Genomic DNA, 24,261 nt, shown 5'->3' on the forward strand with positions numbered 1-24,261 from the left:
TGGTAAACTTTAGGGGCCTTAGTAAATTTCAAATATATGCTACAGGATTGCTAATTATAGTCAACTTGCTGTATATTAAAGCTCCAGAATGTATTTATTTTTGTGCCACCTTTCAGTTTCTGATTTCAGTCCCTGGAAAACCACCCATTCTTGTGCTGACTATTCCACCAACTAGTTTATCTGCCTTAGAGGTTATTTTGGTAAACTTTCACTGCATCACGGACTTAGCAGGGTAAAAGTCGGAGAGTAATGGTACATTTGTCATAACAAGAAAAAGCGGATCTATTTTTCTTTGGCAAAGATCACCTTTGGAAAGTGTTGTATTATGAAATGCAGAGTTAAATACAACTAACTCAGCTTTGATGTGTCCTTTGTTAACGTTCAGCCTCTAAGCGCAAGTTGATTAATGATGCACATCCCACAGTGACTTTTTCTCAAGCCCAGCAAACTCATATATACCCTAGTGTATAAAAGCAAACAACTTAATTAACTTACTCTTCATCCATAATTATCTTGAAATTAACTACTTATAATGTCCAAAAGTTTATGCTGCAAGCATATTTAAAAATCTGTTGAGAGTAAAAGGGACGGTATAATTGGTTACCCTCTTCCTTTCTTGCCCACTTAGCTATTAATATGAAAAGTAGCTACTCCCCTCATACTCTTTGGCTGTGTGCTTAAAATTATTATTATTTTAATTTCTGCAAACAAGAAAAGGGCTTTCTGTTATTTTTTCATTGAGCCCCTGCCCTGGGCCAGGCATCGGGTCCTCAGTAACGGACAGGGCAGTTTTGGCTACTGTTCTCAATGAGATTAGAGTCTCTTTGGAAGCTACAGATAGGTTATACTAGTCTGGTAGGGCTGCCATAATAGAATACTGGGTGGATTAAACAACAGAAATTAATTTTCTCCCAGTTCTGCAGCCTGGAAGCCCAAGAGATCAAGGTATTAACAGGTTTAGTTACTCCTGGTACCTCTCTCCTTGGCTTGTAGATGGCCGTCTTCTCATTGTGTCCTCACACGGCCTTTCCTTTGTGTTCACGCATCTCTGGTCTCTCTTTCTCTCCTTCTTCTTCCTTCTTCCTTCTTTCTCCCTTCTCCCTTCTCCCTTCTCCCTTCTCCTTCTCCTTCTTCTTCTCCTCCTCCTTCTTCTTCCTCCTCTTCCTCTTCTTCTTCCTTCTCTTCCTCTTCTTCCTTCTTTCTTCCTTCTTCTTTTTTTTTTTTTTGAGACTGAGTTTTGCCCTTGTTGCCCAGGCTAGAGTGCAATGGCGCGATCTCATCTCAGTGAAACCTCTGCCTCCAGAGTTCAAGCGATTCTCCTGCCTCAGCCTCCCAAGCAGCTGGTGCCTGCCACCACGCCCGCTAATTTTTTTGTATTTTTTTAGTAGAGACTGGTTTTCACCATGTTGGCCAGGCTGGTCTCGAACTCCTGACCTCAGATGATCTGCCCTCCTGGGACTCCCAAAGTGCTGGGATTACAGGTGTGAGCCACCGTGCCCAGCCTAATCTATGGGATTTTGAAGACAATACTGTCACTTAATGACTTACAACACATCCTCATGAGACCTAATAACAGAAGTTCTGGGTTCTGTGTTAATACGGGACTTCCTTTTGTGAAACTTGTAATACACTCAGGAGAAATGTGTGACAAATAGGATTCTACTTTTTAGGGGCATTTGGAGCACTGTATTGTCCTTGGGTAATAATGCTTAATGTGGACGATGCTACATGGCCTCCAAGAATATCCCTAGGCCCTTGATCCTTTAAGGGAGAAAACCAACCTTTACTTTTCGATTGTGTAATTGTGATCAGAATAGCCTCTGAGATATAAATTCCAAATATATCTGAATTGGTTTTCTTTAATTAAGAATACTTTTGGATTCAAATCATACTGGCAGCAAATTAAAGACATGTTTCATGTGTTTACTAAATGTTAATGATGGGATTACTTTGAAGATAAATTTTAACATTTTAAGTAAAACGTTCATGTAAAACAAAAGTTTATTATAGATTGGTTTTAAAATGAGCACTGCTTCAGAGTCAGGATATTCTTAGTAAACCCACAAGTGTTGTGGCCTTGTGCACGTCTTTTGGTTTCTTTTTGCTTTCATTTTGTCATCAGCAAAATTGAAATTGTTAGATGAAATTGTCTCTAAAGTGTTTTCTAGAGCCAAACATTTCTGATTCTCTAATATTAAAGTCTCTAAGAGAGTTTCTCTAAGCCCAGGCAGTACAGTTAAAAATATTTTCGTTGTTTGCTTGTTGGTTATAGAGTGATAATATTTTGCAATTAGGAAGCTTGGATGAGAAACCACACACGTGACATAAAATGGTTTCTCAACAGAAAATCTGTGCCGCTCAAACTGGGGAAACAGACTTATAAATTCCTTTTGACAAAAGACACGTCACCACACAAGCAAGTTAGGACAGAACTCTGAGCATTGTTTTTCATAGACTTGGGACAATTCCCAAATATTCTTTTTTCTCAAAACAATATTTTTCATTCCAATTTACTTATTAAAAAAAAAAACTGGGAGCCGGGCATGGTGGCTTACGCCTATAATCTTAGCACTTTGGGAGGCAGAGGCCAGTGGATCACCTGAGGTCAGGAGTTTGAGACCAGCCTGGCTAACATAGTGAAACACCGTCTCTACTAAAAATACAAAAATTAGCCGGGTGTGGTAATGCACGCCTGTAGTCCCAGCTGCTCGGGAGGCTGAGACAGGAGAATTGCTTGAACCTGGGAAGTGGAGGCTGCAGTGAGTCAAGAGCGTGACACTGTACTCCAGCCTCGGTGACAGAGTGAGATTCTGTCTCAAAACAAAACAAACAAACAAAAAACAAAGCTCTTTTTGAAGATCACGAGCTTCAGAAAGAAATACTGCATCCACTCTGTCCACATGTTTCTGGCCTGTCCATTCAGTTAACAGTTATTATGTCCCAGGTGCTAGGCTGTGTCCTGGGGACTGAGGTAACAGAAATTACAGGATAAAGCTCCTGCCGTGTAGTAGTACTTTAGGGAGTAGTAGAGATGTTGGTTGGGAAAGAAGTGATGCCAGAATGTGGCGGGGGTTATCAGAGCAGGTTCAGAACGTAAGGAGCACGACCAGGGAATCACTAACTTCGCGTAATGGAAGGGTTTGTTTCAGTTGGATATTAAAAGATGAATAGAAATTTGCAGGCAGCAACAAGAGTTGGCATTCTAGGTGTAGTAGGGGACTATATGATAGAAAGCCCACATTGAAGGTAATGTGGTAAGACTCATTAATCTAAGAAAGATCCTTCTGGTTGTAGCCTTAAGGAAGGGTGAGAGTGGGAACAGATGGAAAGTAAGGAAAACAGTTCGGAGGCAGCTTTAAGAGACCAGAAACGGGCCTGGCGCGGTGGTTCACGCCTGTAATCCAAGCACTTTGGGAGGCCGAGGCGGGTGAATCATGAGGTCAGGAGATCAAGACCATCCTGGCTAACATGGTGAAATCCCGTCTCTACTAAAAATACAAAAAATTAGCCAGGTGTGGTGGCGGGCGCCTGTAGTCCCAGCTACTTGGGAGGCTGAGGCAGAAGAATGGCGTGAACCCGGGAGGCGGAGCTTGCAGTGAGCCTGGATCGCGCCACTGCACTCCAGCCTGGGCGACAGAGCGAGACTCTGCCTCAAAAAAAAAAAAAAAAGAAAAAAAAAAGACCAGAAACGAAATCGGGCCAAGGCAAGAAGGGTGGAAGGTGGATGAGTCTGAGAGATGGATGTTTTCACTATGGAATGGTTGTGTAAGGATGGGGAGTCAGAAGAAGCCATGAGAAGCTTGTGAGAGTTAAGAGGCCATATTCAGTGTTGTGCTGGTAAATATAACCTCCTATAATTAAATTGTAAAGAGGTCAGTCCAAATTCATGTACTGGGGTTGATCGTTTCTGCGTAATAGTCTTTCACTTAACTTTTACTCATTTTCACTTTCACGAAATAAATGGCCGTGTCTTAGCCTGGGGGCCTAGGTCTGGGGTTCGGCTGTGTGCTCTTCCTGCAGTTTGGAAGTGCCGTCTATGTTAATAGATATTCCCAACTCTGCAGATCTTCTCTCGAGGCTGAAGGGGCCCCATTCCTATCAGAAGCCTCTCATTTTTCTCTGAGGTAGAAAAACTAAGGCATAGACTTCATAGGGAAGTTTATATGCAAATGGTGGCTTTCTGCACGGGCCCCTGTGAGTGGAGTGGGATGAGATACCCAGTGGCTTTCAGAGTTCTGGTGGATATTTGATTGCTCTCCATTGGTAGTAACTTTATTGCTTTTATAGGGAGAGTTGTACTGGAAATTTGCCCTCCCTGTCCTTCAGCTGGTTTGTTCCCAAGCCAGACCTGTCTGAAAATTGAAATGGAATACTTTTTCTCATCTCAAGTTATCAGTTGTAGCTGTCAGGAATTTGTTACTGTCTGCTAAAGCCTTTTAACATGAAAATACGCTAAGGGCAGTGCATGTGTGAGTCATGTGGGAAGTTACATTATTTTATGGATGCAGAGAGGGACACAGACCCAGATTTATTCATAGGTGAAAGGGGAAAAGGAACAGAATTTAAAAGGGAAATCCTGAAAAATATGTAGCCTCTGTGGCTCTGCCTCTTTTCCTACCTGCGTCTCTTATACACCATGGATAGAATGTAAGCTCAGTGGGTACAGAAGAGCTGTCTTTTTTCCCTCCTTTGGTCTTCTTAGCTGTCCCCACCAGGCCATGCCTATAATCGGTGCTTAGCAAGCTACTGGCTTAAGAGAGTCTCTGTCTGCTGTGAGTGCAGCTCCTGAGATGGTGGGGATGGATGCTGGTTAGGAAGTGTGTTCGCTGCCTTAGCATAAAGAATAAGTACAGTTTTTCTCGATTATTTTTCTCCAAGGGAAACTCAATGGGGAATGTCGGTTTCATGCTGTTCTTGGAGGGGTTGGTTTAGAATTCTCTCTGGCTTTTCTGAGAATCCCTCCACATTCCCCCTCCAGGCTGCTGTCATGGTAGCTGCCCTTCTTTCAGCTACTTGCATTTTTTGGGAGATATGCCATCTTCCTTCAGTTTGCACCCTGGTAGCTTAGCTCCTTCAGTGTTTAGAGGGAAATGGGAGATGGAGAATCGAAGCACACTAGTGCTTTCTGGTGTTCTCTGCATGTGTTTGGAAGGAATGTAAAAGTAGCTAGGGCTTATCGTGGTATCATAGCATTATAGGGTATGAGACCTTTGGGGAAACTGAGGCTCACAAAGGCTGATAACTTTACCTAGAGTCAGTGACTGCTAATGGCAGACTCCTAGCGTCTGTACTTTTCCACACTTACCCGTTCATATGAAATAGTCTGGGAAGGTCTCTTTTAAAATGTATCGTGACCTCTCCTATAAACCTCAAGGTTACATATGTTAAAGAAATGTAGTCGGCTTTCCTCATGTGCCGAATTCTGAATCAAGCTTACCCAAACCCCCAAATCATTTCCACAGAGCAGAGGAAAAAAACAAAACAAAACAAAACAAAACAGGCAAATGTGAATCATGGGAACCTATTATAATGATATATAGCTTGTCATAACACATTATAATATTACAGCAAATGTATTTAACTCACTGAACGTTCTCAGGGGGCTCTTAGCTCCCTTTAAAAGTGTTCTCCAAATCTCTGCAGCAAGATGGAGCTGCCTAGTCCACCTCACTTTTGACCAAACCACCGTTACGAGAATACCTATTGAAAACCCTTACACTGTTGCTGTTTCCCTGGGCTTAAAAGTATGTTTGGTTTTGTCAGTACCTGGAAACAGGAAGTTGAGATTTGAGGAGAAATCTTTGGCAGTTGTGCACTAAGCTTGCGGGAGTTAGGAGTCTGTTGCCACGGAAACCACACTGCTGCCTCATTTATTAATGGAGGCTTGGTGAACTTCCGGAGATACTCTTAGCCTGTCCTGTAAATTCATTCTAGAGAAATGCAGGGTGACTTTTAAGAGATTTCTCTGTCGTTTCTCAAGCATTCTCTCCTGGGTCTTCATGAGCTCCAGAAAATTGCTTGTATGCAGGTTCAGAACCACTGATTTTTATCTGGCAAGCATGTCTGAAGGCCGTTTCCTTTTTTTCATGCTTAAATCGTGTTTATGCCTGCCTGCCTTGTCCAATAAGTGAATTTTTTTTTATTATGCTGCCTTTAAGAATTACATGGATTTCAAATGAAGGAAGAAGGAATACAAAAATGAACTAAGTAAATATATTGAAAACCTTCTGACACTAACTTTAAGAGAGTTATAAGCATCAAAGCCTTTTCTAACTTTTAAAATTCTAAACTTAAAAAATCTAAAATGAATGGTTTATTTCTTCTAATTCCAGTGAGATACTTTAAGAACATTTGTCTGAGACATTTTCAAATTTTGTTCTAATTTCACTAAACTAACTCTATTCTGCTAGGCAGAGTAACAGCATTGGAAGTTGCTTCCAGGAAAAAAAAAATTTTTTTTCTAGCTAATTGTTTATCTGGGAGGATGCAAATGGTGGTTTTAAGTCCTTTAAGTCATCCATCATGCCTGGCAGCCTCTATTGTCTCATTGTTGGATTTGAGCCAAGTCAGGCCCTTTCTTGGTCTTGGGAGGGTGCACATAGATCTTGCTCTGCCAAATCTGTGTTCACAAGGAGTCCGAGCCCAGCTCTAAGGGTAGGTAATGTTGTCAGATCTATAGATCCCCTCAGATTGGAAAAGATCATGCATCCTCGTTCCTTATGTCACACTAAAGTAGAAAGTAGCACTCTATTCAAAGTAGAAGTGACAGGACTTGTTCCCTCAGTTCTTCCAGTGTCTACGAATTACTGTTAGTTTTTAAACGCATTTTTGTGGATGTAATAAAATACTGTTTATAGTCAGCTACGAAGTAAGTAATTACAATGCGGGAAATGAAATTCAATATAGCTTTGTTGTGGTTTTTTGAATTTTAATTAAACCAGTCTTAGAGTAAATTATAAATGCTGCTGCTTTTGTTGTGACAAGTGACATTGACAAAATATTAATCTAATGGATTGTTATTCACAAAAGCTAAATCTTTTCAAATCTGCAGGGTTTGGTTGTTTATTTTGTTTTACTTTTCAGTTTGTGTTTTAAAAAGTCTAGAGAAAAGAATAAAGTTTTAAAACCACATGAAATAACTCCATGTATGGAATATTTCATTGTTGATGTCTTGCCAGCCATAATTGCATGCATCTCATTTATGGCGCTGAAAACTTGTTCTTTTTAAAAATCAGATGTTTCTGTGGTCACTTTTTTGTTATTAAAACTGGAGCCGGGTTAAATAACCAACCATTGACCACGAAGCCTAATATTAAAGGAATAATCAGCCCATGTTCCTATTAGATCATTTCCGTTTTCTTTTACTTTATAAATTACCTTGTTGCTTAAAAATGACATTTTGTTGGTTGTGAAGTCCTCTTATAGCTAAATTATTCAAGTTATTTTCTTTGGAGATTCTTTTAACTTGAATTTATATAAACTGTAAAGAATGTACATTAAATATTCAGAAACTTTTCTTTATGCCAGTTTCTTATTTTCACCCATCATGACTTAAAGCTTTTTTTTGTTTTAGCATTTTAATGTTTAAATAAATGTAAATAATTTAGTTACAAGGTCTTTATGGTAGTGCCGCCATTGTTTTTAAGAAGACAAATTTTAATCCAAGGTTAAAAACTTCACATTTGCTTATCTCTTTTTCCTCTTAAGAACTAAGAGTCCAGAGATTAGAGTAAAATCACCTTTTCCTCATAGTTTTTTCTTTCAACGTGTTAGAAATTCCTGTTTGAAAAGGAAAGCCAGTTCCTCCCCCTTTTTATGTTTGAGGGGATGATGGTAAAATCACATTATTCAGTCAGTTTCCACATGTGATTTGTTGCCTATATTTTTTAATCCAGGGATTAAATTGTTGCCACCACCAGCATCAAATCATTGGGGGGCAGGGGTGGGGAAGGTGCGAGACAGTTGGTTATAGACATCCAAATATGACGACAGAAAAATCTCCACAGCAATATGGCAGTGGAGCATTTGCTGACTTCAGAGTGCCAGATCAACCCCAATATTTTTTTCAGGGATGCTAAACCTCTTGTAACTGCTAAATTGGATTTGTTACTGAATGAAGTATCAGCTGCTGTTGGACAAGACCATAAAAGCCAGCCGGCTGGCCCTTTGTAGGCAGGGCTTACCCAACGATTGATATGTTTTAGCACTTTTGGGATTATTGTGATTAAGAGGAAACCATTCTGAATGAGTGAGCAAAGGGGGTAAGGACACACAGCCCACAGCTGGTGAGCAGCATGTGTTGGCTCCAAGGAAGTCACCATTATGGCTTTCTCCTGGTTCCTGCCCTGATTGACGTGTATGAAATCTTTTTTTTTTTTTTTTTTTTTTTTGGAGACAGGGTCTCGCCTGTCGCCCAGGCTAAAGTGCAGTGGCGCAATCTTGGCTCACTGCAACCTCTGCCTCCTGGATTCAAGCAATTCTCTGCCTCAGCCTCCTGAGTAGCTGGGACTACAGGCACCCACTACCATGCCCGGCTAATTTTTGTATTTTTAGTAGACACGGGGTTTCACCATCTTGGCCAGGCTGTTGTTGAACTCCTGACCTCAAGTGATCCACCCTCGGCCTCTGAAATTGCTGGGATTACAGGCATGAGCCACTGTGCCGGGCCTAGAATTTTTATATGAGGAAGTGGTGTCCTTATTTTCTCCAGTTGCAGCTCTCTCTGCAGGGAAAGAGACATTTGGAATGTTGTGGACTTGAGAACTCTGAATGCTTTCAAAGCACTATCGTGTGTGTGTGCGCACACGCACACACAGTAGCTAGAAGTGTTAGTCTAGCACAGGAGTTAATTGAGTTAATGTGTAGGGAATTCAGTAATAACAACAGAGCGTCCTCTTTCATTTCCCAGATCCAAAGCTCTGTGACATGCATTAACAATATACCTCCATGTAGTTTGTGTCTCAGTCTGTGTACACGTGTGTGATGGCTAAATGGGAACTGCACAGCCAGTGGATTTGTGAACTTGAGCACTTGCACCTGGCTAAGGGTTTATTAAGTGTGGAAACCGTACTGTTGTTGTAAAACAGTTTTCATCTCAAGAACCACCTGCCCCTTTTAGCGGTGGCCTTTTGCACGTGTCTTGCACTAGCCAAGACAAGTCTATCCAAGAGGGAGCTTGTGGAGTAGGTTGGTGTTTGAATCTTTCCCAGTACTCCCAAATGCACATAGAATTGGTCGCCTCTCTGGGTGTCCCAGGGGGCTGTGCCCCGCTCATGTTCAGAGTTTGCTCAGCATACCACACAGGAAAGAGGCCGGCTTGCCAGGTCCTGCGGAGCGCCTTTCCAAGCCTGTGAAAGGCACGAATCATCCAGCAGCCGAGCATGCTTACAGCTGGCCCTTTGCTAGCTTTGATCTGCGAATCAGGCCACACCATGAATGCACTTATTGTCATGTTATGTGTACACAGTGTGTGAATTATTGAAAATAGGGAGGCCTGAGCCTCATCTGGTAGAGATTACAGTGCAGGCATGCTGGGCGAAGGTCTGTAATTGAAAATCCCCAGATGCTGTTTATTTGGCCTTTGTCACATGACCTGCTGCAGGAAGATTGTCTGAACAAAATGTTGCCTGCATGGAGAGTGGAGCCCGCCCTCCCCCACCCCCCAGAGCCTCCACAGGCTCAGTCTGTGCACAGCTTAAACACCTGCCCAAAGGATTTTTAAAGGCTTAAAATAGATTCACTCATAGCATTTAAATAGAGGGCATCTTGCTTGTTGGTTTAAACTGCTTAAGCGGTTGTTGACTTGTGGAACCTTCTATCCACACAAGGGTTTGCTGGATAATTTCACTCTGAGATATCTTTACAAAGCAACATTCAGGGCCCGAGCCACATAAGTAGTTTGGGCTCTGCCTTTTTTTTTTTAGAAGTCAAACTTCTGTGTGGTGAATGAGCTTGCAGATAAAGCTGTGTTGACTGTATATATTCCTTCTGTCTGTAGAAAATATTGTGGGTACTGAGAATAAGGCCCTGAGTTAGCATGTCTGACTTCCGTTTGTCCAGTTCATTCTTACCTATTCTGCCTATAAACAAGTTGAGGTGTTTCTTAGAAAATTTGTTTTTCTCAATTAAATGCTGAATGTTATGCTCTCTGTCAGTGGTGGATTGAAGTAGGATACTAAATCTGAAATTGATGAAGATCACAAGAATTAAAAACAGGGAAGATTGAGCTAATTTTGAAGTAAGAAGGGCTTTAAGCTTTCCAGGTTCATTCTGTTAGGGAACAAAACAGCCACATGTCCTCTTTCATTGCCAGTCTGTCTCAGCTGTGCTTGTGGCTTCCTCTTTGATTTCTTGGAGCTTAAGAAGAGGAAAGATTCATGGGTATTTCTGCATTCCATAAGCATCCAACACGACTGTGAGCTCCTTGAAGGCAGGAGCCCTGTTGCATTCTTCTTTGCATCCCCAGTGCCTGCCAACACAGTGCTTTCTCTGTCTTCCTGCGGCTTCCCCCTCCCTTTCTGCCTGCCCATTCAAAGAAGACAGTCACTGCGTCCCATGAGCCATGATGTCATATATTCAGATATTTTTTCTTTCAGGGAGAGACTCAAGTCAACAGTAGCAATATCATTAAGTAGCACATTCTTCATGCAGGGCCAGAGGTTGGGAGGATGGAGTAGTTGGGAGTAGGATGTGGGTCCTGCCTTCACAAAGCTCACAATCTGCCAAGGAAAAAGCAAAAACAGGCAGAATGTGGTGTAGCAAGCTTGTGCTAGCAGTGTGCACAAAGTATGGTGAGCAGGAGGGGCAGACCCAGCCCACTGCTGGGGAGTGAGTGGAGGAAGTGCCAGCTGCAGAGGCCTGGCAGCTCAGGAATCATTCATTGTTCAGTAGATTTGGTGGGGTGGGGGTGGGGGTGGTGGCCATTTCACACAAAGGAAATAGCACCCAACATGACAGGAATAAGGATTTTTAGAGACAGAAGTGTGTGTAGAGAGTGGCAGGAGAAAAGACAAAAACTGATTTGCCCATGTAACGTTTTAATTTTTTACGGATAGAATGTGTTCATGTGTTACCTAGATCATTAGAAATTTATTTTATTTTATTTTAGTTTTTAGAGACGGGTCTTGCTCTGTTGGCCAGGTTGTTCTTGAACTCCTGGCCTCAAGCAGTCCTCCTGTCTTGGCCTCCCAAGGTGCTAGGATTATAGGCGTCAGCCACTGTGCCCAGCCTAGAAATTTAAAAGGAGAAGAAAAACCAAGCAGCTGTCCTGAATCTAAGCTCAACTGAGGAAGGTGATTTTCTTGGTTTGCTTGGTCATCATCTCCAGTGGGAACCCTATATCATAGGCCACTGCTTTCTCTGTCGTGACTAGCTGGTATGGGGTTACCTCTGGCTGCTTCTAGTTTTGAGATAGGTCTGATGTGGCTAGGGCAGTGGGGTCAGTGAGCCAGAGCATGGCAACCCTAGGAGGAAACATCTCTGGGCACCTGTCTCAGGCCCTTCCTGAGTACATCTATCCATCTAATCGTTCCGTCTTTGATTACCATTGTTTGGCTTCTAGCCTCATTTCTCTTCCTAGACCATAAACTCCTTGAGGGCAGAGAGTGTGTATTATTCCAGCGTGTTTCTCTTCTAGAGCCTAGCCTAATTCCTTTTGTACAGAAAATATTCTATAAATTTTATTGAATGGGAGAGGAAAGTGCCTTGGGGCCAGATTATGTAGGCCTTGGATGCTTAGAGAGTTGAGGCTTTATTCTTCTGTATTGTGGATGAGAAATTAGAGAACTTTAAAGTGATGTGTGTACAATTCAGTCCATTTCATGGCTGGATTCTGCCGCCATCTAAGATTTTGTTCTCATTAAACACTTAACAGTTGGTCTAATGTTAAGGATTAAGGAACTTGGAAGACAAAGCTGGGTTCAAATCCCGACTCCACTGCTTAATTAGTTTGGGAACTTGGGCAAGTTTCTTAACTTCTTTGAACTGCAGTTTCAGCATGTATAAAATGCTGAGCTAGGTAGAATTAGGTGAATGTGAAGGTTAAATTTGTGGTGTATAAGCACAGTGCTTTGGCCAGGTGCAGTGGCTTATGCCTGTAATCCCAGTACTTTGTGAGGCTGAAGCAGGAGGATTGCTTGAGGCCAGTAGTTCAAAACCAGCATGGGCAACACAGTGAGACCCCATCTCTACAAAAAATTAAAAAAAAAAATAGCTGCGTATAGTGGCACACGTCTGTAGTCCTAGCTACTCAGGAGACTGAGGTGGGAGGATTGCTTGAAACCAGGAGGTCTAGGTGGCACTGAGTCATGATCACACCACTGTACTCCAGCCTGGGCAACAGAGTGAGACGCTGCCTCACCAAAAAAATAAAATAAAAAAAAGCACAGTGCTTTGCATAGTGCTGGTGCATAGTAGATACACAGTGCATGTCATTGCCCAACTTTCTTGCTTTTTTTTTCTTTCTTTTTATTTTGAGATGGAATCTCGCTCTGTTGCCCAGGCTGGAGTGCAGTGGCACTGTCTGGGCTCACTGCAACCTCCGCCTCTCGGATTCAAGCGATTCTCCTGCCTCAGCCTCCCGAGTAGCTGGGATTAGAAGCACATGCCACCGTGTCCAGCTAATTTTTTTGTATTTTTAGTAGAGATGGGATTTTGCCATGTTGGCCAGGCTGGTCTCAAACTCCTGACCTCAAGTGATCCACCTGGACCTCCCAAAAGTGCTGGGATTACAGGCTTGAGCCACCGTTCCCTGCAAAAGCCCAACTTTCTATAGCCTCCCACCATCTCTAAACTCCGCAATAGTGTTTCATTTAGCTTATTCCCTGAATTTCAATTTCTTCAGTTTGAGTTCATTTTAAAAATGTTATTCCTTCTCATCATGCTTTTCATATTTTTATTAGATTACTGAGTGCCTAGACATTTAGATACTCCTTCAGCATGTTTTCTAAGCAGCAAGTCATCCCTGAGCATGCCATTTTGACTTAATGCTTGCATAACTTACCTTTGTGTAGCTATTGTTGTAGTAGCTTCAGAAGTTGATAGAATTCTTCTGGTGATAGTTGTTTTTACAACAAGAACTAAATACTGGACGTCCAGTGAGGGACATGCTGTTTAATGCAACACCTCCAGCCTATTCATAGACTTAATTATACAGTCTGTCACAAATTTTAAGAATTTTGGCTATACTTACCTTCTGGCAAAAACCTCATTCCTGCTATTTATTCAGTGGAGAATCTATTTCAAATTAAAAGATTTGTGCCCTCTTAATGTTAAGATAGTGCCCTCTTAATGTTAAGATATCACAATAAGTGCTCTGTTTACTTGGAAACAATTTTTAGGACCATGTCATTTTGAAAATTGAAGAAGATACAAAGATTGGAAAAGATGTTCAATTTCAACAACATTAGCAATAGAAGCATCATGGGTTTATACCAGATGCCATGTAGTACGGTGTCCTGAACAGAAAACCTTTTTCAACCCTTTTAGGACCCTATATATCAGTTCAAGCAACGAAGACATATAAACCTGGTGCAGTGACATTACATTACAGTTAAAGAACTGGGCCAGGTGTGGTGACACATGCCTATAATCCCAGCACTTTCGGAGGCCGAGGCGTGTGTATCACCTGAGGTCAGGAGTTCGAGCCCAGCATGACCAGCGTGGGGAAACTCTGTCTCTACTAAATAACAAACAATTAGCCTGGCGTGGTGGCTCATGCCTGTAATCCCAGCTACTCAGGAGGCTGAGGCAGGAGAACAGCTTGAACCCGGGAGGCGGAGGCTGCAGTGAGCCAAGGTCGTGCCATTGCTCTCCAGCCTGGGCAACAGGAGTGAAACTCCATCTCAAAAAGAGTTGAAGGACCATTTTAGAGCCCCAGAAGGTGCCAGAGCCTTCCCATTTTCTGTTACTAATGCATACAGCAGCCCTCTAGAGTAGGAACTGTTATTTCCATTTTACAGGTAAGGAAATAGAGGTCTAGAGAAGTTGAGCAAGTTTCCCAAGTTCACACAGCTCATAAGTCCAGTTTCCTCAGAAGAATCTAGGCAGTCATACCTTTGAGTCAAAAAACCAGAAATCGGCAGCATTGCATCATTAAAGATTCTTCATTATAAACTAGCGGTGTTTAGCACTTCAAATGTGTGGATTTCACACTTCTCTAAGGCCAAATAATTAATAAATAGAGTGCTTTTAGCAAACCTTTTCATTAATAAGACTTTCTTGGGTTAATGTTAAGATTAGCTTTTTTTGGACCAGGTCTCTATGGCTGTGGCTTGGGGAAGTGGCAGGGACATGGGTATAGGGCATGAAGAAGCAATGAGCATGCATTGGTCATAAGAGACGAGAACAAAGGTCTGAAAAATTGTGCCACTTCTCACTGAAATAGTTGCAACTTTAAAAGGATTTACAGATTTCAGGTGATATTGGCAGTGCTGTCTAATTTTCATAATCTTTTTCTAGATCTTTTCTTCGGATTTTCTTTATACAAAAGAGGTGAGCTCCTTCATTCATTTATTAAAACCATTTATTGAGCGAGACACGGAAAGAAAAAAACTATTTCATGATCTCACTTATACGTGGAATCTTAAAAAAAAGTCATACATATACAGAGTAGAGAAAAAACAACAACAGAGGATACTAAGAACCAGAGGAGGAGAGAGGAAACGGATATGTAGGTCAAAAGATACAAAGTAGCAGATATGCGTCTAGAGGTCTAATGTACAACATAAGGACTATAGTTAGAATTATGCTAGACACTTTTAGGAGGATTTTAACTATTGTCGTCACACACAAAAAATTACTATGCGATGATAGCTATGTTAATCTGTTTCACTATGGTAGCCATTTTATTATCTATATGTATCTCAATATCACTTTGTAAACTTCAAATATATGCAGTAAAATTTATTTTTTAAAAAAATGGCTGGGCGCAGTGGCTCACACCTGTAATCCCAGCACTTTGGGAGGCTGAGGTGGACAGATCACCTGAGGTCAGGAGTTCGAGACCAGCCTGGCCAACATTGTGAAACCCCCTTGTGTCTCTACTAAAAATACAAAAAGTTAGCCAGACATGGTGGCGGGCAACTGTAATCCCAGCTACTTGGGAAGTTGAGGCAGGAGAATCACTTGAACCCAGGAGGCAGAGGTGAGCTGAGATCATTCCACTGCACTCCAGACTGGGCAACAGAGCAAGACTCCATCTCCAAAAAAAGGAAAAAAAAAAAACTATTTATTGAGCACGTACTTAATAGCTACCAGATCTGGGGTCACAGAGAACCAGACAGGTGCTTTACCATGGAGCAGTCACTATTCTAGGAGGTGGATGAATAGTCTGTAGATAAGTAATGGCAGTGCAGCAGTAGCAGGGGTGCATGCTCAGTACTTGAGGTTACAAAGCAGGAAATGACTAACTCAGTTTGGATGGCTCCCACAGACATTGGGGAGGAAGTGTTCCAGGTAGGGTATACAGGAATGAATAGGACTTTGCAGGTAAAAGAGAAGAGAAAGAACATGTAAGGATAGGTGGTTCCACAAAGGCATGGAGGTATCTTTGGAAAAGAATGACAGTGGTCTGGGGAACTCTATGAAGAGCCACATTCTAGAATAGAGGAGCCCTATACAGGAGTGGGCTCTTAGCTTTAGGTACCAGACTAAGGAGTTTGTGTTTTGCTTGTAGTGGATGAGAACCTGTTGGTATAGGAAGGCAACATAACTAGATGTGGAGGTGAAAGAAAAGACAAATGCCTGCAAGATGAGTGGCAGGACATGGTGGGCGCCTGAGAGCCTGTGGGTAGCAGTCTATTTAGGTCACAGTTGGGGGCAGCAAGTTCAGGCTCCATTAAATCTCATCTTTTTTTCCTTTTTTTTTTTTTTTCGAGACAGAGTCTCACTCTGTTGCCCAGGCTGGAGTGCAGCGGCGCGATCTTGGCTCACTGCAACCTCCGCCCCCTTGGTTCAAGCAATTCCCTTGCCTCAGCCTCCCTAGTAGCTGGGATTACAGGTGTGTGCCACCACGTCAGGCTAATTTTTGTATTTTTAGTAGAGACGGGGTTTCACCATGTTGGCCAGGCTGGTCTCAAACTCCTGACCTCAAGTGACCCACCCGCCTTGGCCTCCCAAAGTGCTGGGATTACAGGCATGAGCCACCATGCCTGGCCTCCATTAAATCTCATCTACACTTTAAGTGTATGGGATACCAAGATGTGAAAGACATGGACTGTACCTTGAAGAGGCTTGTAGTCTGTTACACAGGGAACTCAGCAGAGTCTGATTGTGGGCGGTTCCCTGACACATGAAGTAAAGAACTATGAGACCAGGACAGAATGGTGAAGCTCATGCTGCTTGCCTAGTTAAGAGTCAAGCCATCATTCCCCTCATATACTAAGTGACTTGTTTTTAATTCATAGTACTTTTTGTTTCACTTTATAATATTGTGGTCTTTCCCAGTTGCTGGTCTGGTGAAGTGGGCTCTGGGCACCTGGCTGTCTGGCTTACCCCTCTTCATACACTCCATGTCTAGCACATGTTTCAGGCACGTTTCAGGTGAGGTTTCTTGGAGGGGACATCTGAGCTGGACCTGGAAAGATTTTCCTTGGTGGTCTTAAGGGTTATTGCAGCTATAATACCTTAGCATGGCAGGGTGGGTTCAGGGAACTGGAAGCTTGGTAGGTATTTTGATGGTGGTAAAATGAATTGTGGTGGTGGTCGTGGTGGTGGTGTGTCATGAAAAATAGTTAGGGGCCAGATGGTGGGGACAACACTGAACACCATACTAAAGCAGTTTATTCCTTTAGATGTGGGCAGTAGGAGCCTTGGAAGGTCTTATAACTGAGAACTGTGTTTTAGGTAGCTGTGTAGAGGATGGATTAGAAAGAAAAATGATCAGAGGCATAGTTACAGTGGTAAGGCTAGTCAAACTACTCATTAGAGGATTAAGAAAGTGATTATGTGGCGTATCTTTATTGCCTCATAGAGAATGAGCCACTAAGAAAACTTCATTCATATTTCTTTTTCATCTAGAAATAGTTAGAACAGAAATAACTTCTATCTAACATAGCAGTGTTGTATTCACTATGCAGCCTTAAACATTTTTACTTGCTCATCTCTTTCTGACCCCTGTAACCCAAGGCAAATGTGTAGTTTGTAAGCGGTTCCTCTAAGATGCGGGAGAACACAGTGTTCTATGGAGTTGTCACATGATAATGTTATCAGCTGCCGTTGACTGATACAAACTCCTGAGAAGGTGGGACTTGAGTTATCGCCAGACACTCACTGGCAGGGATATGAGATAGAAGTTCTGAGTAACCAGGAGTTAACACAGCCTTTCTCTGTATGTTCTTTCTCTGAAAGCTGTTTTTTTTAATAAGCCCCTGGGTGAATGCAGACACATATTATCTCCAGGGATTGCTATTGTTTACCTCCTGAAGGCCGTCAGTCCTTTGGTGAACTTCTAGTTTGGGAACAAGTAGTACCAGCCCCTGACAACCCTGAATGGGCGGCCTGGCTGTTTCTGGTGATTTTCCACATTGGTGCTGATTTCTGGTCAATGATTTATATTGAGGATTAACTGAGAACTTCCTCGTTGGATATGCTGTGGGACTGGTTCAGAGGCTGTTTTTCATGAGCCTGTCCTTACACCTAATCTTAGCCTGTGCCCCTTCTCCCTCCCTGGCTCTCCATCCCTCTCACTCTGTCATTTACTCCATCAGTCTGTAGCCACTGAGGACCTGCTGTGTTCTCAGCACTGGATGCACAGTGATGAGCAAAACCCAGTTTATGCTCTGGGCTCCTGTGGACTTCTCTGTCTGGTAGTAGAGGGGTAGGCACATGTTCATCTTATAGTCTCATTCAGATAAATGGAACACAGTAGCTGTGCTGTGTGCTGTGACCGAGAGGCGTAGGTTCCTGTGAGAGCACATGTTAGGGTGATCTGACCAGTTCTCATGGGTTGGAGTTCTTCCAAACAAGACATAAGCACCTCCAAGGCAGAGATGGCGTGTTTTCTTTTTCTTTCTTTTTTTAGACAGGGTCTCACTCTGTTGTCCAGGCTGGAGTACAGTGGTGTGATCTTGGCTCACTGCATGCTTGAACTCCTGGGTTCAAGCAATCCTCCTGCTTCAGCCTCCTGAGTACCTGGGACCACAGGCAGGTGCTACCAAGCCTGGCTGATTTTTTTTTTTTTTTTTTTTTAAGAGATAGGGTCTCACTCTCAGCCAGGCTGGTCTCAAACTCCTGGGCTCAAGTTATCCTCCTGCCTCAGCCTCCCAAAGTGCTTGGATTACAGGCGTGAGCCACTGCACCCAGCTTGAGATGGCATCTTTTTACCCCCATAATTTTAGCATGTTTCTTGTGTTCCATCCACACACAGTCCATGTGTGACCAGTGGATGACTGGCCAGCTTCCGTAGGCCTCCTTTCTTTTCCACTATTGCTGGGACAAGTTGCTATGGCATCCGTGTAGAAGAAATGGTTAATTAGTAACTCCTCACAGGTTAGTTAATAAATGTTCTTTACTGCTTCCTCTGGCAGTGTCCACAGATACATACCTCCTAGATCTTCAGGAAGATGGATGGGGAGATAAAACACCCCCATTCTGTAGACCTCTCCCAAGACAGTGACATGTGGTTTCCTCAGTGTCCCCTTCATCTATACTTTTTGGTTGTTGGCTTGCTTGCTTTCTTTTTTTTTCTTTTTTCTTTCTTTCTTTTTTCTTTTTTGTTGAGACGGAGTCTCGCTCTGTCATCAGGCTAGAGTGCTGTGGCGTGATCTCAGCTCACTGCAACCTCTGACTCCCTGGTTCAAGCGACTCTCCTGCCTCAGCCCCCCGAGTAGCTGGGATTACAGGCATGTGCCACCACGCCCAGCTTATTTTTGTATTTTTAGTAGAGATGGGGTTTCACCATATTGGCCAGGATGGTCTTGATCTCCTGACTGCGTGATCCACCTGCCTTGGCCTCCCAAAGTGCTGGGATTACAGGCATGAGCCATTGCGCCTGACCAGGTTGTTGGCTTTCATATCCTAAAATATTTTTTTCCTTTTGATGAACCCCAGCTGATGAAAACAGACTTCATGGGCTAAGCACAGTAGTTCACGCCTGTAATCCCAGCACTTTGGGAGGCCAAGGCAGGAGGATCACTTGAGGCTAGGAGTTCGAGACTAGCCTGGGCAGCATAGTGAGACCTCTGTCTCTACAAAAAAAAAATTTAAGAATTAGCCAGGTGTGGTGTACCTGCCTGTGGTCCCAGCTACTTGGGAGGCTGAGGTGGGAGGATCACTTGAGCCCGGGAGATCAAGGCTACAGTGAGCCATGATCATGCCACTGCACTCCAGCCTGGGCAACAGAGCTAGACCTTGTCTTAAAAAAAAAAAAAAAGGAGTGGTGGGGGCATATGACTAGAAGGCAGTTTAGCACTGTCTTGTAGAATCTTGCCTGAGAAATTTCTTTGTAAACCACTCTCCCCATGCTTTGTGCTGATGCCGGCATGGGGTCTCCTGTGGAAGACATCTTTCTTTGCTTCTTTCCACTGGGTTATCTTCTTCCTTTTTTTTTTTTTTTAACTTTATGTTCATGATCTGGTGCCAAATTGGGACTACAGGGATGTAGGAGCCTCTTTTCTGACCTGAAGAATGACTCGGTCCATAAATGTTGAGCCACCTGAGAAAGGGAGGCGGAGAAGAGATCCATGTCATTGGTTCTTGTTGCCAAGGACTTTATGACTTGGTTGCAATCATGACATGTGCTGAAATGATATCACATAAGGCAGAAAAAAATACAAGTTACCAGCAAAGAAGCCCAGGTCAAAGGCTGTGAATGTTTAGGGAAAGGGGAGGCCTCCACCAGCTGGTAGGTTCATGAAGGATGAGGCCTTGGGAAGGTAGGCAGATTCCAGACATGCAGAAATGGGCAAGGACAGTACAGGCCATGACAGCAGTTGTGCACCCAGGTACAAAGTTCAAGGTGTTCACAGGAAACATTCGATAATCTAGTAGTACTACTGGGCTGAGCGGGGTGGGGGGATATGTAGAAGACCCTTGTTTGATGTAGCTTTGGTCTAGCAGTCAAGGGAAATGAGTTTTCTTTCTGATTTTCCTTGTTTTAATATGGAAGAACGGGGTGGAGAATCCTCACACATCCTTCCCAGTGAAGGGAAAGGGCCAGCAGATGTTTCCTTAGAGAAGCCAAGCTAGAGCTTCCTAGGCCCAGGGCAGTCCAGTCCTTCATGGGTGTGAGTTTGCCTTAGGACTGGCCACGGCCAGGGAAGAGAAGCATTGCATTTGTTGCTTCTTTCTTGGTGGCTCCCTGACTCCATTCAATTACAAAGTGGCTCTTACACTGTTAAAGCTTGAGTGTCTCTGGGCTACAATTTCTAGCCACAGACCTTCATTTGCTGTGCCTCAAACATGACCTTGAGGCCACATCACATTATATATACAGCCCACAACAACGTTAACCAGTCTTCTATCTGGTAAGGCAAGCGCAGTGCAAACTCCATGCCTTTCTTCTGGGATCTCTCTCTGTATTGCCCCTTTAGCAGGAAATTCCATGGCAATCCAAGATGCAAGAGAAGCCAATGATGGGCTCATTTCGAACTGTGTTATATTATTTAGGAAAAAGAAAATAAAATGAAATAAAAACTAGATTACAGTGCCTGGTGAGGATCACAGTGTAAAAGTGACAGGTCAGGTTGTGTTTGTCCTTGCTGCTTATGTGCAGCCGGTGGGAAAGACAAGGGCAGCTACAACTACAGCATCTGAGGCTTAAAGAGGTGACATGTTGTGCATTTCTAAAATAATTTTTATGTTGTAGAGAAGCTTTATATCTCTCTCTGACTCACTGGACAGGCGTGGTGTAAGGCAGAAAGGAAGACGGTCCCCAGGTGACTGCAGGATTGTTTTAGGAAAATAATAAGTAACTTAAAGTTAGCTTTATTGAAAGTCATTTTTGTAGCATCAGGTTTACTGAATCAAGCATCTCTCTCTCTCTGTCTCTGTGTGTGTGTGTGTGTGTGTGTGTGTGTGTGTGTTAGAAGATCATGGCTGCAACAGGACTATGCTGCATAGCTTGGAGACCCACTTTCAGTTACATCAGTGATGGTGCTGCTTATCTTCTGGCCCTTAGGAAATGCTGCGTCTTAGTAACATGATCAAAATCCAGGGCTGTGGAATCTGTGAGCTCACCCCTTTGGAGGGCAGGGCTGTAGAAATATACATAGGGGCCAGTGCGGTGGCTCATGCCTGTAATTTCAGCATTTTAGGAGGCCGAGGTGGGCGGATTGCTTGAGCGCAGGAGTTTGAGACCAGCCTGGGCAACATGATGAAATCCTGTCTTTACAAAAAAATACAAAAGTTGGTCTGGTATGGTGGAGCAGGCCTGTAGTCCCATGAGCTACCACAGTCCCGTGCTACTTGGAGAGCTAAGGCAGAAGGATCACTTGAACCTGAGAGGTTGAGGCTGCAGTGAGCCGAGATCGTGCCACTGCACTCCAGCCAGGGTGATAAATGTGAGACCCTGTCTAAAAGAAATAAAGGAAATAGAGATAGGACTTAGGATGTCGTATCAGGGCCGCTGACAAGACTCTCCTCAGAACCTAGTTGATACACCATGCATATACAATCCCAAACAGCCAAAAAGATCTTCCAAAATTGTTTGGAATGGCATACTTCTGTAAATGGGTAAGTATAATTAAATTCTGGAAAGATTTAGAATTAAACATATAAAATTTTAGTAGAATTAGAGCCATAGTGTTAATGTTTTTGATTTAAAGGATTTATGTATATTTGATATTTCAAGTAATTAAAAGAAATAATTTGGCCTAGGTAACAGATCAGCCTGTATTTCCAAATTAAAATGTACAATGAAGTAGCTCATTTAGACATTTGATTTGGGGGAAGGTTGAAATTGTACTAGTTTTATAAGCAACATTTTAGTGCATTTAAGATAATTTATTAGGTTTCTAAGACTTGTTTAAGGGAAGATTTTATAATTTAAAAAGCAGGTAGTTCTAATATTTAAAAGAAATAATTACTTATTCATGGCTTGAAACATAGATGAAAGAAAGAACATGGGTTTTTGAAAAGTGAGCTTGCTCATCTGAAAAGCAAGGACATGAGAGTGAAGATGAGCTTTCAATGAAATAATGACTACAGCGTAATGCCCAGGCCACAGTACTCAGTAAGGACCTGTTGAAGTCATAATTTTTAGAAGTCACTGAACAACAGGATACGTTCTGAGAAATACGTCATCAGGTGATTTTAGTCATTGTTAGAAAATCGTCAAGTGTACTTACACAAACCTAGATGGAATAGCCAACTACACACCTAGGCTGCAAACCTGTCTGGTGTTAACTGTACTGAATACTGTAGGCCATTGTAACACAATGGTAAGACTTGGGTATCTAAACATAATCTAAACATAGAAAAGACAGTAAAAACATGCCATTATAATTTTATGGGACCACCATCATGTATGCAGCTCATTGTTGACCAAAATGTCATCATGTGGTGCATGATTGTACTTCAGTCAAAGTGTGAGTTGACACTGTTTAACTCCAAGGGGTGCCATTTGTATAGGCTGTGGTACACAGTCAAATAGGGCTGTCTTGGATATTGATTTTATTCATTCAACTCCAAGTGCTGCAAGAAATTAAAAGTTAGTCAGGTTATGTGTCACATCTATCAAGGTATTCTGTCTGTTTTCCCAGAAAATAAACAAGTTTGAGGGTAGGAGACATTTTTGTCATCTGGACAAGGTTCGGACAAAATTGTATGTAATACAGAGCCCTGGATCTATTTCGCCTTGGCCGCTCAAATAGCCCTGAACAGGATGCACAGTGAGGCCCCAGGTTGGAGGATGCTTGGCTTGTCTGCAGACATTGTCATTTAGCTCTGGCTTCTCGTAATTAGGTACTCCTAGCTGGGCTCTGTTGTCAGCGAGCCTTCAAGACAAATTGCAAAATCTGTACAACCATCTGAGAGATGGAGAAGTAGATCCAATGATACTACAGGGGATATTGGTAGTTCTCAAAAGTTTGAAAGAGAATGCTTAGAAAAGCAATCCTCAAAACTGAATTTAGAGGTTCTTGTCCTGTGGTAAAAGGGTTCACAGGATCTGAGAAGATCTTGCAGGCAGGAATGATAGACTGAATCTAAGGGGATGAAATGGAGTAGAAAAAATGTAAGGTTCTGTTTTGAGGTCTGAAAATCTCAGCTATGCATTAAAAAGACTGGAAACAGGGGTAGGGACATATCAGAAGACGAGCCCGTATGAAAAAGACCTAGGAGTTTAAGTTGGCATATATTGATAATTTATTGTGCTCCTTAAAAATTTAATGCAGTGTTTGGCTGCATTAACAGAGGTAGAGTATTTAGGATGAGAGAGGTAATAAACTGACTCTGATGCTATAGCAGGAGCACTGCCACAGTTCTGGACTCCAAGCTTTGAAAGGAAGACAGACAAAGGATGGTCACAGGATGGTGTGTGGGAGTGTTCCAAAGCTTGTCAGATAACAAAGTAACACAGGAGGTTTAGCTTGTGTACAACTCCAAGAGGACCCCAGAGCTGCTGTTAATATCTGAAAGGCAGTTAAATAAATAAGGGACTGGACTTCTTGTTAAGAGGAACAGGAAGGATCTGGGGATGAAAGTTAAAGCAGACCCCCAAAAGGAGGGTCTTCTTATTCTTAAATATGTTCTAAGATAGAATGGGCTACTTCCTCAATTTTAGAAGTGCTGACTAAGGCTTATGAGGACTTTCAGGAATGCGAATGGATGACCTAGGGGTACTTTCTAGCCCCCAGATTTCATGATTCCTTTGCCTTCCAGTGATGACCATGTCCTGCACAGTCCCAGCACTGGCAGGTGGTGGACAGAGCCATGACTCTAGGACATTCTAGGCAGTGATGAGAGAGTCTTCGCAATTCTCAGACAAGATTTCCCTAAGGACATTTTGATGTTCGTCTTCATCAGTGTTTCCAGTTCTTTACTCTGCTAGGGAAGATCTGGGGGATATGGTCACTTCCTTTCAGCAGAGGCTGTGTTATTTCCTCATTCATTCTTTTCTCTGTGCCCAGCAGTGTGCTAGGTGCTAGGGGGACATTGAGGAAGAAGACAGAGTTCTTCCCCTCTTCAAGTATGCAGTATATCTGGGAGGAAGTAAGACAACAAACACAAATTTTACAACTAACTATAAAGTTATAAATACAGTTACAGTTTGGGTACATCCTAGGAAGAAGTACAGTTTTTGCCACCATGGGGGTGTAGAACAAG

General features: G+C 42.7%; 1 protein-coding gene across 1 annotated transcript in view, besides 1 other annotated feature; it reads left to right on the forward strand.

Moving 5' to 3' along the window:
• Positions 1–24,261, forward strand: part of TEAD1 (TEA domain transcription factor 1) — a 270,317-nt gene that overhangs the window by 162,173 nt on the left and 83,883 nt on the right. The gene's annotated exons all lie outside the window — the stretch shown is intronic.
• Positions 7,192–10,406: an enhancer, noted in NCBI's record as "VISTA enhancer hs1314". NCBI's record gives its function as "enhancer in: midbrain (mesencephalon)[9/12] | dorsal root ganglion[9/12] | forebrain[9/12] | limb[8/12] | branchial arch[7/12]" and the evidence as "EXISTENCE:transgenic organism evidence [ECO:0001131][PMID:17130149]".

Source organism: Homo sapiens, chromosome 11 (assembly GCF_000001405.40).
Source record: "Homo sapiens chromosome 11, GRCh38.p14 Primary Assembly".
Lineage (NCBI taxonomy): Eukaryota > Metazoa > Chordata > Mammalia > Primates > Hominidae > Homo > Homo sapiens.